Consider the following 21033-nt stretch of genomic DNA (forward strand, 5'->3'; position numbering starts at 1 on the left):
GTGTGCGCCACTGCGCCCAGCTGGAACTATTTCCTTTAGGCCAACCTGAAAAACTGAGCTTGGCATAATGATAATGGTTGCGCTCTCAAAAAAATAAAAGCATTTAACAACCTACATGATCTTCAGTATATAGTAGCAATAAGAGTATTAATTCTGAAATTGTATATCTTGAAGATTTCTAAAAAATGCAAACTTGCTTCTTCAGAAATAAATTACAGAAAAAAAGAAACTCTTCAAAACACAAATTTTAAAAAATGACACTAGACTGTAAGCTCCACAGGGCAGGGATTTTTGTCACTTCTGTGCTCTGCTAGATCTCCAGTGCCTAGGACAGGGCCTGGCACATGGTAGATGCTCAGTAAATACATGGTGAATGTATATATATATATATATATTTGAGACGGAGTCTCGCACTGACGCCCGGGCTGGAGGGCAGTGGTGCGATCTCGGCTCACCGCAACCTCTGCCTCCCAGGTTCAAGCGATTCTCCTGCCTCAGCCTCCAGAGTAGCTGGGATTACAGGTGCCCGCCACCATGCCCAGCTAATTTTTTGTATTTTTAGTAGAGACAGGGTTTCACTATGTTGGCCAGGCTGGTCTCGAATGCCTGACCCCGTGATCCACCCACCTCGGCCTCCCAAAGCGCTGGAATTACAGGTGTGAACCACTGCACCCGGCTGGTGAATGAACACTTTAACAATAAAGTTTGATTAAAAATTTAAGAAATTACAGGTGCCCTCGATAGACAATGGATCAACTGGAAACTAAAAAGCCAGATAATTTTGCATCTTAAATTGACCCTGAAATGAACTGAGTAAGTCCAGTTCTTTTCCATTTACAACTGGTTATTGGTTTAAAAAGCAGCCAAAGACTCCAGTTGAGAAAAACTAAGTAATTGGATATATTTTAATACATAAAATGTTACACTTGTTAAATGTTACTGACCATAGCTTTCTCATCCCTGCTTATGATCCTTGTTGGCTTTTATTTTCTAACATTCTTTAGGCTGCAGGTAACAGAAAGCAAACTCCAACTAAACTGAAGCAGTAAACAAGTGGAAGGACTCCGAGGTGGCTGACGAGCTTGACAAACAAGCTCACGGGCCCTCCCTCAAGGACTAGAAGGCAAGGCTGAAAACCATCAGGACTCTGCCTCTCGCTGGATGTCTGCTTCATTCTCAATTTTTTCCCATGAGGTTGGAATCAAGGTTGTCAGCCATCACTGGGACTTCTTCCTTTCCTGAGAGAAAGTATCTTCCTAGCTTCAGTTGGAGAGATCCTAGGGAAGGACACCTATGTGACCTATTTGGGGTCACATTCCTGTCCTGTGGACTGGTGTCTGTGACCAGGGAGGAAAGATGGGAAAGAACTTGAACTTTGAGGCCGGGCGCAATGGCTCAGCAGTGGCTCACGCCTGTAATCCCAGCACTTTGGGAGGCCAAGGCAGGTGGATCACGAGGTCAGGAGATCGAGACCAGCCTGGCCAACATGGCTAAAATTACAAAAATCTACTAAAAATACAAAAATTAGCCAGGTATGGTGGCGGGCACCTGTAATCCCAGCTAATCGGGAGGCTGAGGCAGGAGAATTGCTTGAACCCAGGAGGTAGAGGTTGCAGTGAGCTGAGATCACACCACTGCACTCCAGCCTGGGTGACAAGAGTGAGACTCCATCTCAAAAAAAAAAAAAAAAAAAAAGAAAAAAGACCTTGAACATTTTGAACGTCTCCCCCTTAGACCATGTTAGTAGGATGAAGAGGACAGAGTAGCTCCCCTGAAAGAGGGGTGGGCCATTCTCAGGAATGTCTTACTGAGGGTCACAGTCGGTGAGGAACTGGATTGGCATCTAGCTTAGTATGTTTTCCATTAAAGACCAGTGTTTCCACAAATAAATGCAGCCCACAGACCGGTGTTTGATACTTGGCTTTACTTTATAAAAATACACAACTTAAATACATATGACACTCTGTTTACAAGACATAAACTGGTAGATTTAACATTTTCAGTTATTTCAACAGAAAGAAAATATGTAAATTACCTTGTAAGAGCAAAGAGTTCATTTATAGACTCTGCTTTCACAGTTAAGGGGGAAGAACGCCCAGGGGCAATCAATGCAGGAAGCTAACCAACACTGTCCAGCTCTCCAGCAAAACTCATCTTGCCAACAGGGCCTCTATTGCACCGCCTAATATTGCACTGCTCGTTAGACACCATCTCACTTATCCATGTCACCAGTGTAAGCTTTTGTCTTCTCTAGAAAAGTTTAATGGAAAAAAACGATGTACAAACAGTAAAACTGTATCTTACAATTGTGCTAAATACCAATTATGAGAAGTACGAACCTCTCTTCACTTTGCAAAGCTTGCAATGGAAAGTGGTTAGCTATATTTTGCAGCTAAGTTCATTTTCAAAAGTTTTACAAAACCTTTGATTCAGAGTAAGCTTGATGGGGTACAGTGGCAAAGGAGGTGACATTCCCATGCCTAGTGGAATTAGTTGTAAGACGCGCACTGTCACTGTCAAAGGCAACAAGCACATGGCTTACAGCTCCACCTTTCTAACTTTTGGCAAAATCCCTCCCTTCCCCTTGTGATGTTGTCATTGTTCAATGGGGCACAGCTCCTTTTTTTTTTTTTTCTTTTTTTTAAAAAACTGATTCAGAGCTTGCAGTGGCTGCTTACTTACTCTGGCTATCTTTCAGAAATTTAGCTGCCTTATCTATAGCTCATTTAACTAACAGTGAATTAGGTACTAGTTTATAGGTATAAAGAAATAGTTACTTAGTTGAGAATTCAATATATGAGAACATACTAGAGTAAGTTTCCTGAGGTAAAAGTATGCCTTAAAGAATGATGTGCAATCTATAAAACTGTAGCATTTTCTCTTGGGTAGCAACACAATGACCCCCAAGTCTGGATTTTTAAATTAACAGGCTAAGAAAACTAAGGACACATTGATATAGAGAAATAAAATAACAATGCTGAAGTCAAAGAAATATTGACAGCTGAGATATCAATTCAAAAGGAGGCATGAAGGGGAACAGAGGAACAGAAGGAGGCTGTATTTTAAAGTGCTTAGGTAGGTTAGAAGATGAATTTGAAATGCCTCCAGGGATTTCTAACAAGTTTAAAAAGTGTTACTTCTTGGTGACTCAGATGTTGAAGACATGGCTTTTCTTTAATAATAGCTATTCAAACTTTTTATTCTTTTTTGAAAAACAAGATTCTCTATAAAAACGTTTTAGCCATTGTAATTATTCTGCTAGCTGTTACTCTCACTAATGTATTTTGAAATCCTAACTGGCTGAAGAATTTTTAATAAGGTTGAACTACAAAGCACACATTTGCACCAAGAATTTAAATTAATGCATAGATGTCTGTGAAATTCTGCATGAAGTTAGTGCCAAAAAAACCTTTCCATTGCAGATCATGCTTTATTTCTTAATATTCTGCTGAAGGATTATAGAAATCAGAAAAATTCTAGGACCCTGAAGCTTAACTTGCTTATTTTATTCCTTTTACGTAAATGAAGTGGTATATGGCCATTCTTAACATTAATAATGAAGGTGTTGGAAACTGAGTCTCAAGACCTAAGAATCAAGCTCAGGCTAAATTTCACCAACTCACACATAAGGATATGAGTGGGAGCACTAATGAATTTTCTCTGCTGTAATTGCTCATCTGTGCAATACGGCTGAATGAGGTTCCCAATCTAGTATTTAATAACAGTGATGAAAACTGGCACCAGCTTTCATAGAGGGCCACACATTCAGAGTTGTCGTGTCAATTCGGGCTGACGCTACCGTGCACGATCCCTCATTCATATGACTTCTACATTCTGCTGTGAGGACAGACATGTCTGAGTGCTTTCAGCATGATAAAGGCCTTCCTTAAGCAAAATTTAGGTCCCGAAGAACTCTGGGTTGGAGTTCTGTAGCCTCAGAAGCCAGTTAAAGGCCAGAGGAAAACCTCGCAAGAAATAACATATATCAATCAGTTCATTTAAAAAGTTGTTTTGATATTACCAAGATGAAAAGTGCGATGATAAAGCAACGCTCTGGTTTCCTGAAGACAAGCTCAGTGCAGCCCAAGTACAGGCATACAGTGAAAAGCTGCTGTGTGGAAAATCCACAAGGCTGCAGTGGGCTTGGATTGGAAGAAAGTGGCTTTTCTTCTTAGGAGGTAAGGTAGATGCTCTTTGGCAATCGATATGGGATAGCTTTTTAAAATTCACAGGACAGGAAGATTTTATATACTTTCAAGCCCCAATTAGTACAGCTAATTGAAAGTATATAAAAATGTGAATTAGTGTGGTTGCAGCTAAAAGTATGAGTGATGTAACAAGAATGACGACGTAATGAGTCAAGTGGTGAGACTAGTTCTATAAGCACCGTAAGGAGTGCCAGTCCTAATACATGAACTTCATCCATCCCTTGTATATCAAGGAGGAGACTGTGGTCAGAGAATGTATTTTGTAAGCTATAGTTTAAAAATATTACTCTTCAGAAATTTGGAGCCCAAGCAGGAATTACAGAGATTCCTCCCAACAGAGGCCCTGAGATCTCCCCTGACTGCCACCCAAAGGATCCACACTTGCCTCTGATCAACCAGATTCAGGCCAAGGCTTAGAAGAGGGAGGAGGCAGTGGCCAGAAGCCAGGGACTCTAGAGGAGAGAAATGATGGCAGATGTGGGGTTCAGAAAAAACACAAGACGGGAAGGGGAAGAGGGGAAAAAAGGAAGAAACAACACTGGTGAGGAAGTGTAGAAGAGGCCAACTTTGCTGAGGAGTGGCCCTGCCTTTCTCACCTGCCTGTGGCAAAGGCTGGCAGTAAGACAAGGGCTAAGCCTCATAAGGAGTCTCTCCTACTGCATCAAGCTTGCCCCAAGCTTGGCTGGCCTTTCCTCTGCTGATGTGCATAATCTTTAAGTGCGACCTCTAAGTACCTTTTTTTTTTTTCTTTAAGAGACAAGATCTTACTATGTTGCCCAGGTGGGACTTGAGCTCCTGGGCTTAAGCAATCCTCCTGTCTCAGCCTCCTGAGTAGCTGGGACTACAGGCGGATACTACTGCAGCTGGCTCCTCCAAGTACTTCTGTCTTGGGGCCTGATTCCTCATTCCCAGGTGCACAGTGCTCTCTACTGCTACCAGCAACCATTTCTATGGCAAGGGAAAGGCCTCAGATCCAGGGACAGGATAGGCAGCAGCCAGTGTACCTAGAATTTGTGGCTGCCACCACCTTTTCTCTTAGGACTGGCTTGTCTCTCCCACTGGTGGCTGCAGAAGAGGAACAGAGTGAATATCATAAAGGAATGCTCAATTCAGAACTGTATCACCTCATTTTACAAACTCCCAAAGGGCTGCCAAGAGTCATCATTATAGATCGATGGGTTAAAATACCACCTAAGGAACTCATTGTAAAAGCAGCAACTTGTCTGTAAGGTCACACCAAACTTACAGGGGTTCTGATGTTGTTTGCTTCCATTTTTGTTATTTTCTTCTCTGATGATGAATTCCGTAAAAAAGAAAAAGTGAAAGGGTCCTCTTGTCCTCTCTTCCCTCCTCCAGGAACCTTGTGGATTTCCCCAAGTGAAATGTCTAAGTGATACTATAATTACAGAGCTGACGAATGAGAAAAAAATTCAGAATTATCTAGAAATATGAAATGAAGTACAGGGTGTGACGCTCAGTTCACTTCATACAAATGCAGGTCATTTCTCAGTAAAATGTCTATGAAATGGGTACCTGAATTACTGATATACAAATGACAACACATGAATGAAAAGAGCAGTGAGATTCTGGGAAGGAAAACTCCACGTTGGTTATTTCACCTCTAGGGAAAGTCTGTTTGCATTTGAGTCCCACATGTGGCTTTTTTCTGTACTTTCTACTTGATGTTTTTCAGGAGGGCTGTCCGAGCATTCACAACTGCTTTGAAGGCATCTTCACTGCCAGGTGCTACACATTTGTCAGGGTGAAGAAGCACAGCAAGTTTCCGATACGCTTTATTGACTTCATCCCTGGGAAAAGAAGCCAAGATCTATGTTAGTAACAGAGTCAGCCCAACCCACTGCATGTTAGCTGTTTGGACACACATAGTATCTCTTACAGTGAACATATCCTAAATTATTACCCTTTCTCAAAGGCAGGATTAAAGGACTAGAAAACAGACAACCAACCAATAAATAGTATGTAATATATAACACAAATTGAAAAAGTTATTATTGCACAATGCAAAAAGTATATAAATGCTAACAAAACACTTAGTAAAATAATAATCAGATGAAAACAGGCAGTACTTGGCACCTCACAGGCACTCAGCATATCTTTGCTGATTGAAAGAATAAGGGCTTGGGCACCAGGGAAGGCATCCAGAGTTGCCTTCTGAAAGAAGGGGTTCTGGGAGAGAACCAACAGTGGCCTGGAATGGAGCCCGAACACAGCACAGACGGGAAGCAAAACAACCCCAACACCTGGGCCTGATAAACAATCACAACAGTAGGTGTTTCATGACAAGTGTGTGCTGGGAAAACTGTTTCTTGAAGTTAGGATACAGGAGGTTGTTACATAACCCAGGCATGAGTGAGTACAAGTTTAGATTAAGGTATTTATGGAAGGAAACAAGGGAAGATAAAAGATAAAGAAAGAAATGGCAGAAGTGGATGATGAGCTGAATATCCAGGAGGAGAAGATGAAAAGAAAGGGGCTGAAATGAGCTCCAGGGTCAAGGTCACGAGGAATCTGAGGCCCAAGAAGGTGACACCACTGAGCAAGCAAGGGATGCTGGAAAGGGGTAGTCCAGAATGACAATGAGCTCACGAGACCAAAGAAGAAACACGACAGAGATCAGTATTATCCAGAGAGGAAAGGAGCAGTAGCAGTGCTTCTCCAATCCGGCGGTTCCGATAAACCAGCAGCGCTCCAGGAGAGAGCTGCAGGCTTCTGAGCTCCTCAAAGAGCCAAAACTGGCTGGGGAGGGGCCTGGACCCATCTGTCCCTGTCCCCACTGGTCATCATCCTCTGGTGTCAGGCCTCCCAGAGGGCTCTAAGTACCCAGCCACTCCCCAGTCAGATTAAGCTCTGTCTCTACCAGATGGTTTTATTTCCCACCTTCCTTTTCTAATTCAGGGTTCCAGTGATCCTATAAGCTATATGGTGCTTTACCAAATGCCCTAGCCTTTCTCCTTTATTTTTATCGAAGGATTTCTAATGTGGCTCTCCAAGTCAGATGGCCTTTGATACCTTGGCTATGATGGAAAGTTTTATGTATCAGCTTGGAGAGACTGAGGTCATAGGGTCATGTTAACAGTTCTCCAAGTCTTAGGCGTACATTCTAGGGCCTTTTCTGCTTTCTGCTCTTAGAGGGGTCCTGAATTTTCTTGTTCTAGCAAGAACCTCCTTCTTTCATAAGGATACTCTGGGGGACCTTCCTGGTGCCCTGCGTGTTGTTTTTCTACATGTGTAATTCTGATAATTCGCTAACAAGAATGACATTCTCCCTCTCTGAAGCAATTTGAATTGTAAGAATTCTTATTTGTCCCAAAGACCCCGTGTCCTTGAGGAAGGTACAGCATCCTCCCTCTTCCCCACAAGGGAGTCCTGGGAAGGGCCCTTCCAGCCACTCTGCCTCCCCAGAGAGGGTGTCCACATGGGGTCAGTAGTTACACCCGGTCCTCTGCACTAAGAGTGCCTTTCAAGATTTGCAGGTAGCGGGAGAAACTCTCAAGATGTAACAAATACATCAATTCCGTTGAAGACGAAGATTTTCTTAAAGTTCAAGAACAGTAAACACAGTTAACAGTCAACAAATACCAAAACTCTCTGTAACTTAAGAAAAAAATGTTTTAAGGCTTTTTCCCAAATGTACTTAGTGCCATATAAAATTAGTTTGCTAGGCCCAGTGGAATAAAGGTAAGAGAAGCACATGTTTCTATTGGTTAAGGATATGAAACCTATAGGGGCCTGTAAGTTCTGGTAAATTTCAATTAACCAAAGTGAATACATAAGGAGCCCTAAGTTTCTTCTTTCTTAATGAATATTGTTCTAAGTCTACTAACAAGTAGATAAAGTAATTGTTTCTTAAGTTTAGAGCCAGTATCCCTTGGAGATGACACAGAAGAATTCAGAAAGAGACTATGAAGGCCTAAAAAGAAATGTAAAATATACAGATATACAGATTCAGTGCAATCTTACTGAAACCCTACTGGCTTTTTTTTTTTTCATAAATGGAGAAGCTGATCTTAAAATATATATGGAATTACAACAGATCCTTAATAGTCAAATAATCTTGAAAAAAAATAGGAAGACTCACATTTTCGAATTTCAAAACCCACTAAAAATCTACAATAAACCAAAGAGTATAGCACTGAAAAAAAAAAAAAGATCCCGATAAACTCTGTGCCCTACACGAGGTCATCTGAATTCCCTGACAGTTTTAAAGCATCCTCAATATCACCTGGTGAATGAGTGTGCCCAATAACAGTTTTCCCCTTCCCTTCCCCGCTTTCCTTCTGGACTTGAAGATACGCTGTGAGGTCAGAATGGAGAAGAGATGTGTAGTGCTTTGGGTGCTGACATGGCAATTTCAAGACATACTTTTTTCTTTTGTGAGAATCAAGGTGAAAAAGTAGGAAGGGTGAAGTATGTGGGGGGAGTCTGGGCGCATATTGTACTACACTACAATATGTGTAGTAACGGTAGAATTAGACCGTTGAAAGTTACATAACCATAATGAATAATAATTTAATTTTTGTACAAGCAACAAAGAATAGTGATTGAATTTTTTTCTTAAATAACTCTTTTGACTAAAATAATTAACATAAATACACACACAGAGGGCTGGGTGTGGTGGCTCACGCCCGTAATCCCAGTAGTTTGGGAGGCTGAGGCAGTTGGATCACCTGAGGCCAGGAGTTCAAGACCAGCCTGGCCAACATGGCAAAACCCCATCTCTACTAAACATATAAAAATTAGCCGGGCGTGGTGGCGTGTGCCTGTAATCCCAGCTACTCAGGAGGCTGAGGCAGGAGTATTGCTTGAACCCAGGAGGCAGAGGTTTCAGTGAGCTGAGATCACGCCACTGCACTCCAGCCGGGGTGATAAGAGTGAGACTCTGTCTCAAAAATAAAAATAAAAAAAAAAAATAAACAAATACACACACAGATGAGGAACTTGCAGGGCTTTAGAGACAAAGACAGAGACAGTCAAACATACAGTGTTCCAGGGTAAGAACCAATTATACCACTAACTCCGGGGATTCTTGAACATGTTTAATCTCACTGAATCCCAGTTTTCCCACCTATAAAATGAAATGTTTGACAAGTTGATTGCCAACGTGCTTTCCTCCTCTAACATTCTATGATTGAAGAATTCTCTTTTGTTAGTTCTTTTCAAAGCTCTTCTTGTTCCAGACAGATGAAAGCAGAGCATACCATTTCATGAAGTATTTATGCACGTACACGACACAGTTTTCTCACCAGGCAACTGTGCCCTCTATTTTGTCTCTTTGGTATTCAGCTAATTCAGTGAAACTGAGTCATTCTAATATATTTTCATACATCTTCGTATTTCCAGCCAACTGGAGGAAGATATACTGCACCTATAATTTTGGTGATGGAGTCTTTCTTTATGATAGCAATCAGCACTAAGTATCCCAGAGCGCTTACCTTGAGGCCCCAGGTTTGACTCCCAGCATGTCCCAACTGTCTTTACTATTTCGAATTCTGCGAATGGCATCTGCTTGTTCTTTGGTGAAACTAGCACTGCTATTGGTGGTAGGGCGTTTCCCGCCATTTTCACATAAATCAACTATGGATATATAAAAGGTCTACAAGAAGAAAACATAACCCAGGGTAGAAATGATTTTGTGAAAATAGGAATTCCTTTTAAGCATCAACTTAAAAGACTTTTAATATATTCCAGCAACTCTTAGAAGTCATGTATAAAGCAAATACACACTTTGGAAGATTTTTTTCTTTTATACTATTTAAATATATATATTCATATATTTTAATACACAAAAAGTATAAGGAATAAAATTAAAGTGGCTAATAATCCTACTTTCAGATAACCACAATTGAAGTTAAAAAGTAACAGATGGGCAGGGCATGGTGGCTCACACCTGTAATCCCAGCATTTTGGGAGGCCGAGGCAGGCGGATTGCTTGAGCTCAGGAGTTTGAGACCAGCCTGGGCAACATGGCAAACCCACGTCTCCACACACACAAAAAATACAAAAATTACCCGAGTGTGGTGGTGCACGCCTGTAGTCTCAGATACTTGGGTGGCTGAGGTCGGAGGATGCTTGAGCCCAGGAAGTGAAGGCTGCAGTGAGCCCAGATCATGCCACTGTACTCCAGCCTGGGTGACAGAGCCAGACCCTGTCTCAAAAACAAACCAACCAACCAAAACAACAAAAGTAATGATGAACATTGTTAGAAAAATTCAAATAGTAAAGAAAAGTGTAAAATGAAAACTGTGTCTCTCTACTCCTCAAGTTCCTCTCCTGGAGGTAACCATTGTTAATTTTTTTTGAGCATCCTTCCAGAAAAATTTACCATCAGTATGCCAGTATATACACAGATCCATACTCTTTCAACATGTACTAAAGGAGATCAGACTAAACACATCTTAGCACCTTGTATTTTTTTCCACATAATGCATCCTGGAATCTTTCTATAGCTACATGTAGAGACTTTCTTTGTTCTTCTAAATGACTGTTCAGTATTGTATTGTGTAGCTGTCCCATAATTTGTGTAACCAACTCTCTATTCTTGGACAAGTCAGTTGTTTCTAGTTTTTTTGCTACTATAAACAGTGCTTCAGTAAATTTTTCTTTTGTGTATACATCTCAGTACACTTGTGGGGATACTGCTTTAGGATAAATTCCTAAAAGCAGAACTGTTGAGAAAGAGTATATGCGCATTTTAATTTTTGAGTCTGACAACCGTTGTTAAAAAAAAAAGCTGTACCAGTTTACATTCCCATCACCGTGTGTGTGAGACAGAGTGCCTACTTCTCCATACCCTCATTAACACTGACCATTATCAAACATCTTAAGTGTTACTAATCTGATATATATCTAATATAGTTTGATTTGCATTTCTTTAATTAGAAGTGAAAGTGGGTATCTTTCCAAATGCTTATGGCCTTTTCTTTTTCTGCAAACTTCTTATTCTTTGCCCATTTTTACAATTTTTTTTCTTTTTTTTGAGACAGGGTCTCTCTATGTTGGCCAGGCTGGTCTCAAACTCCTTGGCTCAAGTGATCCTGTCTCAGCCTCCTGAGCAGCTGGGATTACAGGTATGTGCCACTGCACCTGGCTACACTTTTCTGATTTTTTTTTAGGTGAAAGCTTTTTTGACCCTGCTCATGTTTCATGTTCTGTGCACTGTAATTATTATTGAATAATACTCATTTACCACACTACAGCCACTTTTAAATGGACATATCTCCTCCTAATTTCTTTAAAAATCTTTTCCTCTTCTTTTTTGGATTCTTTTATAGTTCCTGTTATCTTCTAAAATTCTTATCTTTCTTTTAGACTCTCCTTTCTGATGTCTAGTATTAGCTAATCAACTTGGTAACCTAACAAGAAGCCTTGACGTCTGAAAAGGGGTGTCAAAGGAATACCACTAGAGACCAAGACACAAGACGTATTAGCTTGGCTTTAGTCTGTCTTAATATTGCTCTCTCTGTTAACAGTTATCAATCAGATAAAACCATGTTACTTCCTGACATAAAATGTCTATTAAGTAGATGGGAAATAAAGAAAATATTTATTAAATTGAACCAGCAGGAAAGCACTACTTTTAAGTACTTACTTATAGAATACTGTAATTATTCTCTTCTTGTTAGCTTTTTTTTTTTAAACAGACTAATTTATCCATTAGTTCTATCCAAGATGTATCTAAAAAGATAAAAGCCACATAAAAGGGATCACAGTTCACGGATGTTTGCTAGTTGTGTATCAGTAAGACTGTCTTCTAGCCTACGAGTTAACCTGAAATATGAATATTCATAGATTTCTGAGGGCACAAGGATTCATTCATCACACACATGGTTATAGGAGACAAGTCATAGTGTAGGCTATAGAATACTAGGATTGAGACCAAAGCCTGTTTAAATTTCATGTCTGAGTTCCAGCCATGACAGAGTAATGAATACTGGACTAGACTTCCTGCCATCAACTACTATCGAACTGGAAAAAAACTGTTGGCAGTGGACAACAGCAAGTGCAAGACGGCTCCCTGAGAGATAAGCCCCCCAATCACCTGGTTGTCTGCTTGGAGTCCATTTCCTGACCACATCACAGAGAGCTGGAGTCTGAGCAGACACAAGTCTCATTGAGCTAAGGAGGAGGTGGCTAGACTCTGCAGAGCAGGCCATTGGAGAGGAGAGAGCTGTGCAGAGCTGGGCACCAAGTCCATATGGGGGTCTCTCATGAGTCTGTGGCCAAAGGCTGGGCTATATATGCATAGGGTGAGATCACTCAAGGCTTACCAGATAACAGCTGCTATGGGGTTGAGAACAAAACCAATATCCTGAGGTCTAGTGGTGCTAGAGAAGAGCTATCCTGGGAACAGTAGGGTTTAGCCTTGTCAGAGTGGAGATATTGCCTTAACCCCTCATTAATTGCCCCACCATCTACTGAGGCACCACAGAAAGGCTGTGCCCTAAAAATTATAGACTCATCCTAACAAAACCTAAAACCAAGAGCTGACAAGATCTGCAAAAGAGACAGAATTTGGAAGCTGAGTCCTGCCAAATTAGAAGGGCTTGGGAAACACTTTGAACTTCCTTCAAATCCTTGCTATTAGGGCAAAAAAACAAGCCAACACAAGTTCACTGTAATTTGCCAATAATTAAACTGCCTCCTGAGGAATCAAAAATCAACACTAAACATTCTTCAATCAAGAATCAATAGTCAGGCTGGGTGCGGTGGCTCATGCCTGTAATCCCAGCACTGTGGGAGGCCGAGGCGGGCGGATCACGAGATCACGAGATCGAGACCATCCTGGCTAACTCGGTGAAACCCTGTCTCTACTAAAAATACAAAAAATTAGCCGGGCATGGTGGCGGGCACCTGTAATCCAGCTACTCAGGAGGCTGAGGCAGGAGAATGGCATGAACCCAGGAGGCGGAGCTTGCCATGAGCCGAGATTGCGCCACTGCACTCCAGCCTGGGCAACAGAGCCAGACTCCGTCTCAAAAAAAGAAAAAAAAACCAACGGTCTTCTGAGGAAGATAAAAGAATCTAGAGTCTCTACAATGTGTTATCCACAAGGTCTGGTGTTCAATCAAAAACCACTACTCATACAAAGAAACATGTAAATGTGATCCATAGTCAGGAAAAAAGGTAGTAAATAGAAACTGAACCCAAGATGGTTCAAATGTTGGACTTAGCAGATGAAGACTGTAAAACAGCTATTATAAATATTTCAAAGAGGTAAAGAAAAATACATTCAAAGAATTAAAGGAAAATATACTCTTAATGAGTGAGCAGAGAATCTAATAGAGAACTGAGAACTATACTGGGAACCAAATGCAAATTCTAGAGCTGAAAACTTCCCTCAGGGAGTTTAACAGTAGATTGTCAGTGGTGAAGTCAAATCAACAGAGACTATGCAATCTGAAAAATGCATAAAAAAATGGAAGAAAAATAAATATAGCCTCAGGGACTCTGGGACAAAATCAAATGGTCTAATATACATGTAATTGGAGGCCAAGAAGGTAAAGAGAGCCAGAATGTGGCCAAAAAAACTCTGAAGAAATAATAGTAAAACAAAAACAAAACAGAAAACTCCCCAAATTTGATGAAAAACACCCACCTACCAATCTTAGAAACTCAGTAAATCCTAAATAGAATAAAAATGAAGAGAATCACATCTTGGCACATCATATTCTAACTGCTGAAAACCAAAGAAAAGAGAAACTCTTGAAAGCAGCCAGGGGGTAAAAAGGGCACATTAGGTACAGAGATTAATAAGAGTCAGAATGAGTGCTAACATCTCATGACACACAATGGAGGCCAGAAGAGAATGGACCAGCATCTTTAAAGTGTTGAAAAAAATCTCATTTCTAACAAGTATGTCCCTTGGACAAATCACTTTACTACCCTTAGATGCTCTCATATATGAAATGATAACAATACTTGCCACACATTGTTGCTGTAAGTCTCCATGAGATGAAATGTGTAAAATTCTCCAGAATGGTGAAGTACTATTCAAATGGTTAGGTATCATTATTGTACACATACAGGCACAAAGTCACATAGCTCCAAGTACTCAAAAGAATAGAAAGCATGGCAAACCAGCATCAACTTTATTTGATCTTGAAATAGAAAATACTTTTGCTTAATTCAGCCTGTCAGCCAAGGAAGAAATCTGTCTTCTAGCAGGAGGAGTGACATCTTGTGAGAAGGAAATTCAGCATAAAAGATTAAGTACAATCCCACTCAATAATTAAGAACAACTCTTTATAGTGTAACTACTTTATTTGAAATGCTAAAAATTCCCAAAATATCAGATATATTCATAAGAAGAAAACTACATTATTCATGCTACCACTTACTTCCAAATGTATCTATAATTAAGGGCTGACTTTATAAGTTATTGTTTTAAATAGCCTATTTCCCTTAAAATTACTCAAGATGAGTAGGTTTTTTTAAAGTGGCCATCTGTTCAGGTTGTGATGTGAGCGCCTCCCTCTATTTCCTGCTTGATTGGCGAGGCCTTATTTTTATGTGTGACTGGATGGAGTCTATACTGACAGTCTCCTATTCTCTAACTGCACCCCTGTGGGCTACAATATAGGATTATACTAGCGGTGGCAAGGCAATTTTGCCACAGTAATGCTTCTATCTGATTATGCATATAAATGTAATACCATTAGCCAAAGGTAGCTTTGAAGAAAATCTCTGTCCTGCTTAAGCAGTGTATAATAACTTTTGTTAAACTTGATGATCTTCAGAATCGCCTGGAGAGAGAGCTTTTTCAAAATATAGATTCCTGGGCTCCATCGCAACATAAGCTTCCAGTAGGTCTGAAGCCTAGAAGTATGTATTTTAAGAATTTCCTCAGGTAATTCTGGTGATCAGCTAAGTCTCATCTAAAATAGACAGCAGTCAGATCACTCATTCTCATTCTCTCTTCCTTTCTCTCCCCCTTTCTCTATTTCTATCTCACTAGATTCTTTGAAAAGAAAGAGCTTATTCTAATGAGAAATTCCTATTACTTTTTTGCTTCCTATAATTTAAACTGAAAATTGGCACAGTGGCCTTGACACAAACCTTAAAACAACAAAATGCTAGCTTACCTGGAACATCTCATTAATGCCTTCTCCAGTTTGTGCTGAAGTTTCAAAGTACAGGAACCCTTTGCTTTCAGCCCAAAGACGTCCTTCACTTTCATCTACACAGCGATGTTTGGTACAATCAATCTGAAATAGAAGGGGCGGGGGACAGAGAGAAGATTACAATCTTGTCCTACTAGAATGGACCCAGTGAGGGTCTCTGTCAATCCTTTACTAAGGCAAAGCTATTCTTAGTAAATGCCTGCACTAGTGTGTAAAATTACCAGGACCAAAGGGACAGAAACAAAACTTAATATTGAATGTAGACTGATATTCTATGGCAACAGGACTAGTGCCTGCTGCTGCAATGTCCCACCTGATCCCTTGGGAAAACAGCTGTTACTCAGTTCTGTGAAAGTTGGCTTCATGACATCTGCCATACCCTTGGGGCCATAGTCTGCTTTTCACACCTTTCCATAGTCCACATCACCTAATTAATGCCCCTACTCCAGTCGGGTCAGAGTCTGATTATTAGGAACCATTGCTCCCACTCAGTCACCAACATCCTTCCCCATGTATGGCACCAGAAAAAAAAAAATGTATACAAATTTTGATATAGCAGGTTTTAGGCTGCTGTGTTGTTTTGTTTTTGTCTTAGGGACATTATGTTTTGAAAGGTTATTGATTTCCATATTACACAATAAGGAATTTTTCTTTTCTTTTTGTTTCCCAACACTCAAAGCTCCACTCTTTCCCTAGAAATCTGAACACACCATTTCCAGAGGGGTTACCTTGTTGGCACAAACTACAAATATAATATTTTCCATGTTTCCATGAGGTCCAAGCTCTTGCTTCATTTCTGCCAGCCACGCATCAAGGGCGTCAAAGGAGTCTTTCTGCCCAACATCATAGACCAGTATCACACCCTGTGTGTCCTTGTAAAACTCATTTCGAACCTTCAAATAAAAGGACAGATACACAAAACGTAGTTTTTGTGATGTTATAAGAATGTATCTCACAGTCATTAACCTGGCAAAGTGTGTTCTTTTGTGTATTCTTAGTGTTTGCTATTGTATCTGTTTCTACTGGTCATTAGAGGGTTTTTTATAGAATCAAAGTAATGTCATTCTAAAAATGTATTAGCATAGAAGGACTTACAATGGAAAACAACAGCCTCCTGCCCCACCCCGTCCCACCTCCAGTTCCACTCCCTAGAGGCAATCAGTCTTTAATTATAGTAGACCTTAAAAGAACATCAATTATATAAAGTTCTTCTTAGGAAGAATTAGGAAGGTGAGTGAGCAATTCAAAAGAACTTAAGGCCAAAATGACATAAGTGTCAGCAATGGGTACAGCCATTTATAAATCACATCCCAAAGCTGGCTTCCCCCAGGGTGCTAGGCAGAGCTTCCCTGACTCTCGGGTCTGCACACCAACTTTAGAACTCCAAACTCAGAGCCTCAGTGTGATACAATGGAAAAGAGCACAGGCTCTGGAGTCAGACAGATCTGGGTTCACACTTACTTACTAGTTTTGTGATCTTGGGCAAGTCACTTAACCTCTCTGCGTCTCAGTTTCCTCATCTGTAAAATGGGGATAATACTACTTACTTCACAGGGTTATTATGATGGTTAAATGAGATAATGCAGGCAAAGTACTTAGCATGGTGCCTGAAAAACAATGTCTATTTAACACCTTCCCCTTCCTTCCTTGCATTCATTCTCTGGGCTTCATTCCAAATGTGGGAAGAGGCAGCATGAAATATGGGCATACTCAAACATTAGGGCCAGAGAGAAGTTAAGGAGCAGCATTGACACATGGGGTTTCCGGGACAAAGTTCCAGAAAGAATCCTGACAGAGCCCATATATTATATGTTCTTTTCACAAAATTCCCAAATGTACTCAGACCCACACAAGCTATGTAGTAAGAAATGAAAACATGTTATACACATCGGGTAGGGTTTCTGGGCATAGGCAGATATCTGGACCAAGGATATTAAGTGCTCCTATTTGTTTACAGAAACCTAAGAAGCTATCCCCTAAAGTTAAAACCAACAAAATCAGAAAGAACTGAAGATGATGAAGCCCACCAGTCCTTTCCCTCAGTACTCATGGTCCTTGGCCCTTCTACAGCAGTTAACGACGGGCTCTCTCTTCTTTTCTAAAACTCTCACTGCCTTGGCTCCCATACATCACATTCCCTAGGCTCTTAAATTCTCTTTCACCAACTCCCCTTCTCTCTATTGCTCCCACTCCAGCTTACCACCAAAATCCCCCAAATCCTGTCCTATGCCTTCTTCCTTTCGTTTTGAATCCTTCCTCCCAAATCAGCAACATCAACCACTTGTACAGTTTCAACTGTGAGAATCTCCAAGATGAGCCCTCTCCTCTGAGGTTCCAGACCTGCATTTCTAATTAGCACAACATTCTTCCAGCTGAATGTCCTGTTGGAATCTCAAATTCAATATGCACACAGGAAACCCCTCAACTTCTTCCTTCTTAAACTATTCTCCAAAGTTCCAACTTTCTCAAATGATGTTAAAAGTTTCTGATCAGTCCTCCACCAACCTTCCCAGTCTTATCCTCCCACTAGCTCCTGACCTTCAAACTGGGGAATCTCTCATTCCCCAAACTTGCCCAAGCCTTCCTAACTCCATCTGGAAACAGATACCTCTTTATCTTTAATTGTTCAAGCCCTGGCTATAATGCTGTATCTTTCATGCAGCTTTCTCTGTTCCATTCCTCACCATCCAGCCCCCTACTCCTGCAAAACAGAATGTAATCTCTATGTCCCCTGGAGTACCATACTGTTTTGTACTTTCATAGTGCCATCACTTCCTGCCCAGTTTTACAGTTAGTAGCATATCCAGCTGTCTTCCCTCCTACACTAGAAGAAATGTGAAGACATGCATCATCTTCATGTATCCTCCCTTGTGTCACCCACAGGGCCTAGCAGATGCAGGCACACCTCACTTTATTGCACCTATGTAAGGCACATAGGCACACCTCACTTTATTGCACAGTATGTACATATTGTGTTTTTTTACAAAGTGAAGATCTGTGGCAACCCTAAGTCAAGCAAGTCTATTGATGCCATTTTTCCACAGTGTGTGTTCACTTTATGTGTGTGTCACATTTTGGTAACACTTATAATACTTCAAACTTTTCATCATTATTATGTCTGTTACGATCATCTGTGATCAGTGATATCTGTTACTATTTTAAGTGTTTTGGGATACCATGAACATATAAGGTCATTTAAGACAGCAAACTTAATAAATGTTGTCTATATTCTGACTGTTCCACCAAATGGCTGTTGCCCCATCTCTCTCCCACTCCTGGAGCCTTCCTCTTCCCTGAGACAAAACAATATTGAAAGTAGGCCAATTAATAACAATACAACGGCCTCTAAGTGTTCAAGTAAAAGGAAGAGTCATGTATCTCTCATTTTAAATCAAAACCTTTAAATGATTAAGCTTAGTGAGGAAGGCATTTCAAAAACAGATAGGCCAAAAGCTGGGCCTTTTGTACCAAACAGCTAGCCAAGTTATGAATGCAAAGGAAAACTTCTTGAATGAAATTAAAAATGCTAATCTAGTGAACACATGAATGCTAAGAAAGTGAGACAGCATATTGCTGATATGGAGAAAGCGTTAGTGGTCTGGATAGAAGTCCAAACCAGCCACAACCTTCTCTTAAGCCAAAACCTAATGCACAGCAAGTCTCTAACTCTCTTCATTTCCATGAAGGCTGAGAGAGATGAGGAAGCTGCAGAGGAAAAGTCAGAAGCTAGCAGTTGTTGGTTCATGAGGTTTAGGGAAAGAAGCCATCTTCGTAACATAAAAGGGCAACATGAAGCAGCACATGCTGATGTAGTGCTGCAAGTTATTCAAAATATCTAGCTAAGATCATTGATGAAGGTGGCTAATCAAAGCAACAGATTTTCAATGCAGATGAAACAGGCTTGGAATAGATAGATCTAATGGAAGAAGATGATATCTAGGACTTTCAAGGCTAGAGAGGAAAAGTCGATGCCTGGCTTCAAAAGCTTCAAAGGACAGGCTGACTCTCTTGTTACGGGCTGACAGAGCTGTTACGGGCTATATGAGCTGATGCTCATTTGCCATAATGAAAATCCTAGGGCCCTTAAGAATTATGCTAAATCTACTCTGCCTGTGCTCTATAAATGGAACAGCAAGGTCTGGATGACAGCAGATCTGTTTAAGCATAGTTTACTGAATATTTTAAGCCCACTACTGAGACCTACTACTCAGAAAAAAGGATTCCTTTCAAAATATTACTGCTCATTCACAATGCACCTAATTACCCAAGAGTTCTGATGGAGAAATACGAAGAGATTAAAGCTGTTTTTATTATGCCTGCTAACACAACATCCATTCTGCAACCCATGGATCAAGGAATAATTTTGACTTTGAAGTCTTACTGTTTAAAAAATACATTTTGCAAGGCTACAGCTGCCATAGTGATTACTCTAGGCAAAGCAAATTGAAAACCTTGTAGAAAGCATTCGCCATTCTAGATGCCATTAAGAACATTCGTGATTCAGGGGAGAGGTCAAAGTATCAACCTTAACAAGAGTTTGGAAGTTGATTCCAACCCTTACAGATAACTCTGTGGGAGTTCAAGACATCAGTGGAGGAAGTAACTGCAGATGTGGTGGAAATAGGAAGAGAACTAGAATTAGAAGTAGGGCCTGAAGATGTGACTGAATTACTGCAGTCTCACGATAAAAAATAAATAAGGAGTTGCTTCATATCAATGAGCAAAGAAAGTGGTTTCTTGAGATGGAATCTACTCCTAGTGAAGATGCTATGAACATTCTTGAAATGACAAGCAAGAATTTAGAGTATTACATAAACTTAGTTGATAAGGCAGCAGCAGAGTTTAACTGAATTGACTCCAATTTTGAATGAAGTTCTAATGTGGGTGAAAATGCTGTCAAATAGCATTGCATGGTACAGAGAAATCTTTCATGAAAGGAAGAGTCAATCAATGTGCCAAACTTTATTGTTGTCTTATTTTAAGAAACTGCCACATCAACCACCACCCTCATCAGTCAGCAGCCATCATCACCGAGGCAGCCTCTGATCACAATGGAATCAAACTAGAAATCAGTAACAGAAGGATTAACAGGAAAATCTCCTAACACTTGGAAACTAAACAACATACTTTTTTTCTTTTGTTTTTTTTTGTGTTTTTTGTTTGTTTGTTTGTTTTTGAATAACACACTCTCTTTTTTGAGATGGAGTTTCACTCTTTCACCCAGGCTGGAGTGAAGTGGCACGATTTTGGATCCCTGCAACCTCCGCCTGTTCAAGCGATTCTCCTACCTCAGCCTCCCAGGAAGCTGGGATTACAGGGATGTGCCACCACACCCGGCTGATTTTTGTGTTTTTAGTAGAGACAGGGTTTCCCCATGTTGGCCAGGCTGGTCTCGAATTCCTGACCTCAGGTGATCCACCCTTCTCGGCCTCCCAAAGTGCTGGGATTACAGACGTGAGCTACTGCTCCCGGCCTGAATAACACACTTCTAAATAACTCATACATCAAACAGAAAGTCTCAAGGGAAATTAAAGAAATACATTGAACTGAATGAAAATGAAAATACAACATCTCAGAATTTGTGGGACACACAGTTGTGCTGAGAGGGAAATATGTAGCATTAAATGAATTTATTAAAAAAGGAAAAAGTCTCAAATCAATAATCTAAGATCCCACCTCAAGAA

General features: G+C 40.5%; 1 protein-coding gene across 6 annotated transcripts in view, besides 1 other annotated feature; it reads right to left on the reverse strand.

The window, feature by feature from the left end:
• Positions 1-1903: 1903 nt before the first annotated feature.
• The window catches only part of DNAJC27 (DnaJ heat shock protein family (Hsp40) member C27), a 28459-nt gene continuing 9329 nt past the window's right edge, over positions 1904-21033 (reverse strand). For 2 of the 6 annotated variants that reach the window (XM_047444647.1, XM_047444648.1), the window contains exons 4-7: positions 16078-16242; positions 15311-15433; positions 9662-9822; positions 1904-6016 (exon numbers count right to left, since the gene is read on the reverse strand). In XM_047444647.1, the coding sequence (XP_047300603.1) occupies positions 5884-6016; positions 9662-9822; positions 15311-15433; positions 16078-16242 (582 nt within the window). In that variant the 3' untranslated portion in view covers positions 1904-5883. Of the gene's footprint in view, positions 6017-9661; positions 9823-11817; positions 11904-14298; positions 14406-15310; positions 15434-16077; positions 16243-21033 lie in introns of those variants that run through there. The other 4 variants (NM_016544.3, XR_007076386.1, NM_001198559.1 and 1 more) reach the window with 4 other exon arrangements.
• Positions 15625-16579: an enhancer, noted in NCBI's record as "H3K27ac hESC enhancer chr2:25180226-25181180 (GRCh37/hg19 assembly coordinates)". NCBI's record gives its function as "activates a minimal SCP1, AML or CMV promoter by ChIP-STARR-seq in primed H9 embryonic stem cells {active_cell/tissue: H9 hESC(primed)}" and the evidence as "EXISTENCE:reporter gene assay evidence [ECO:0000049][PMID:30033119]".

The sequence above is a fragment of the Homo sapiens genome, chromosome 2 (assembly GCF_000001405.40).
Source record: "Homo sapiens chromosome 2, GRCh38.p14 Primary Assembly".
NCBI classification, from domain to species: Eukaryota; Metazoa; Chordata; class Mammalia; order Primates; family Hominidae; genus Homo; species Homo sapiens.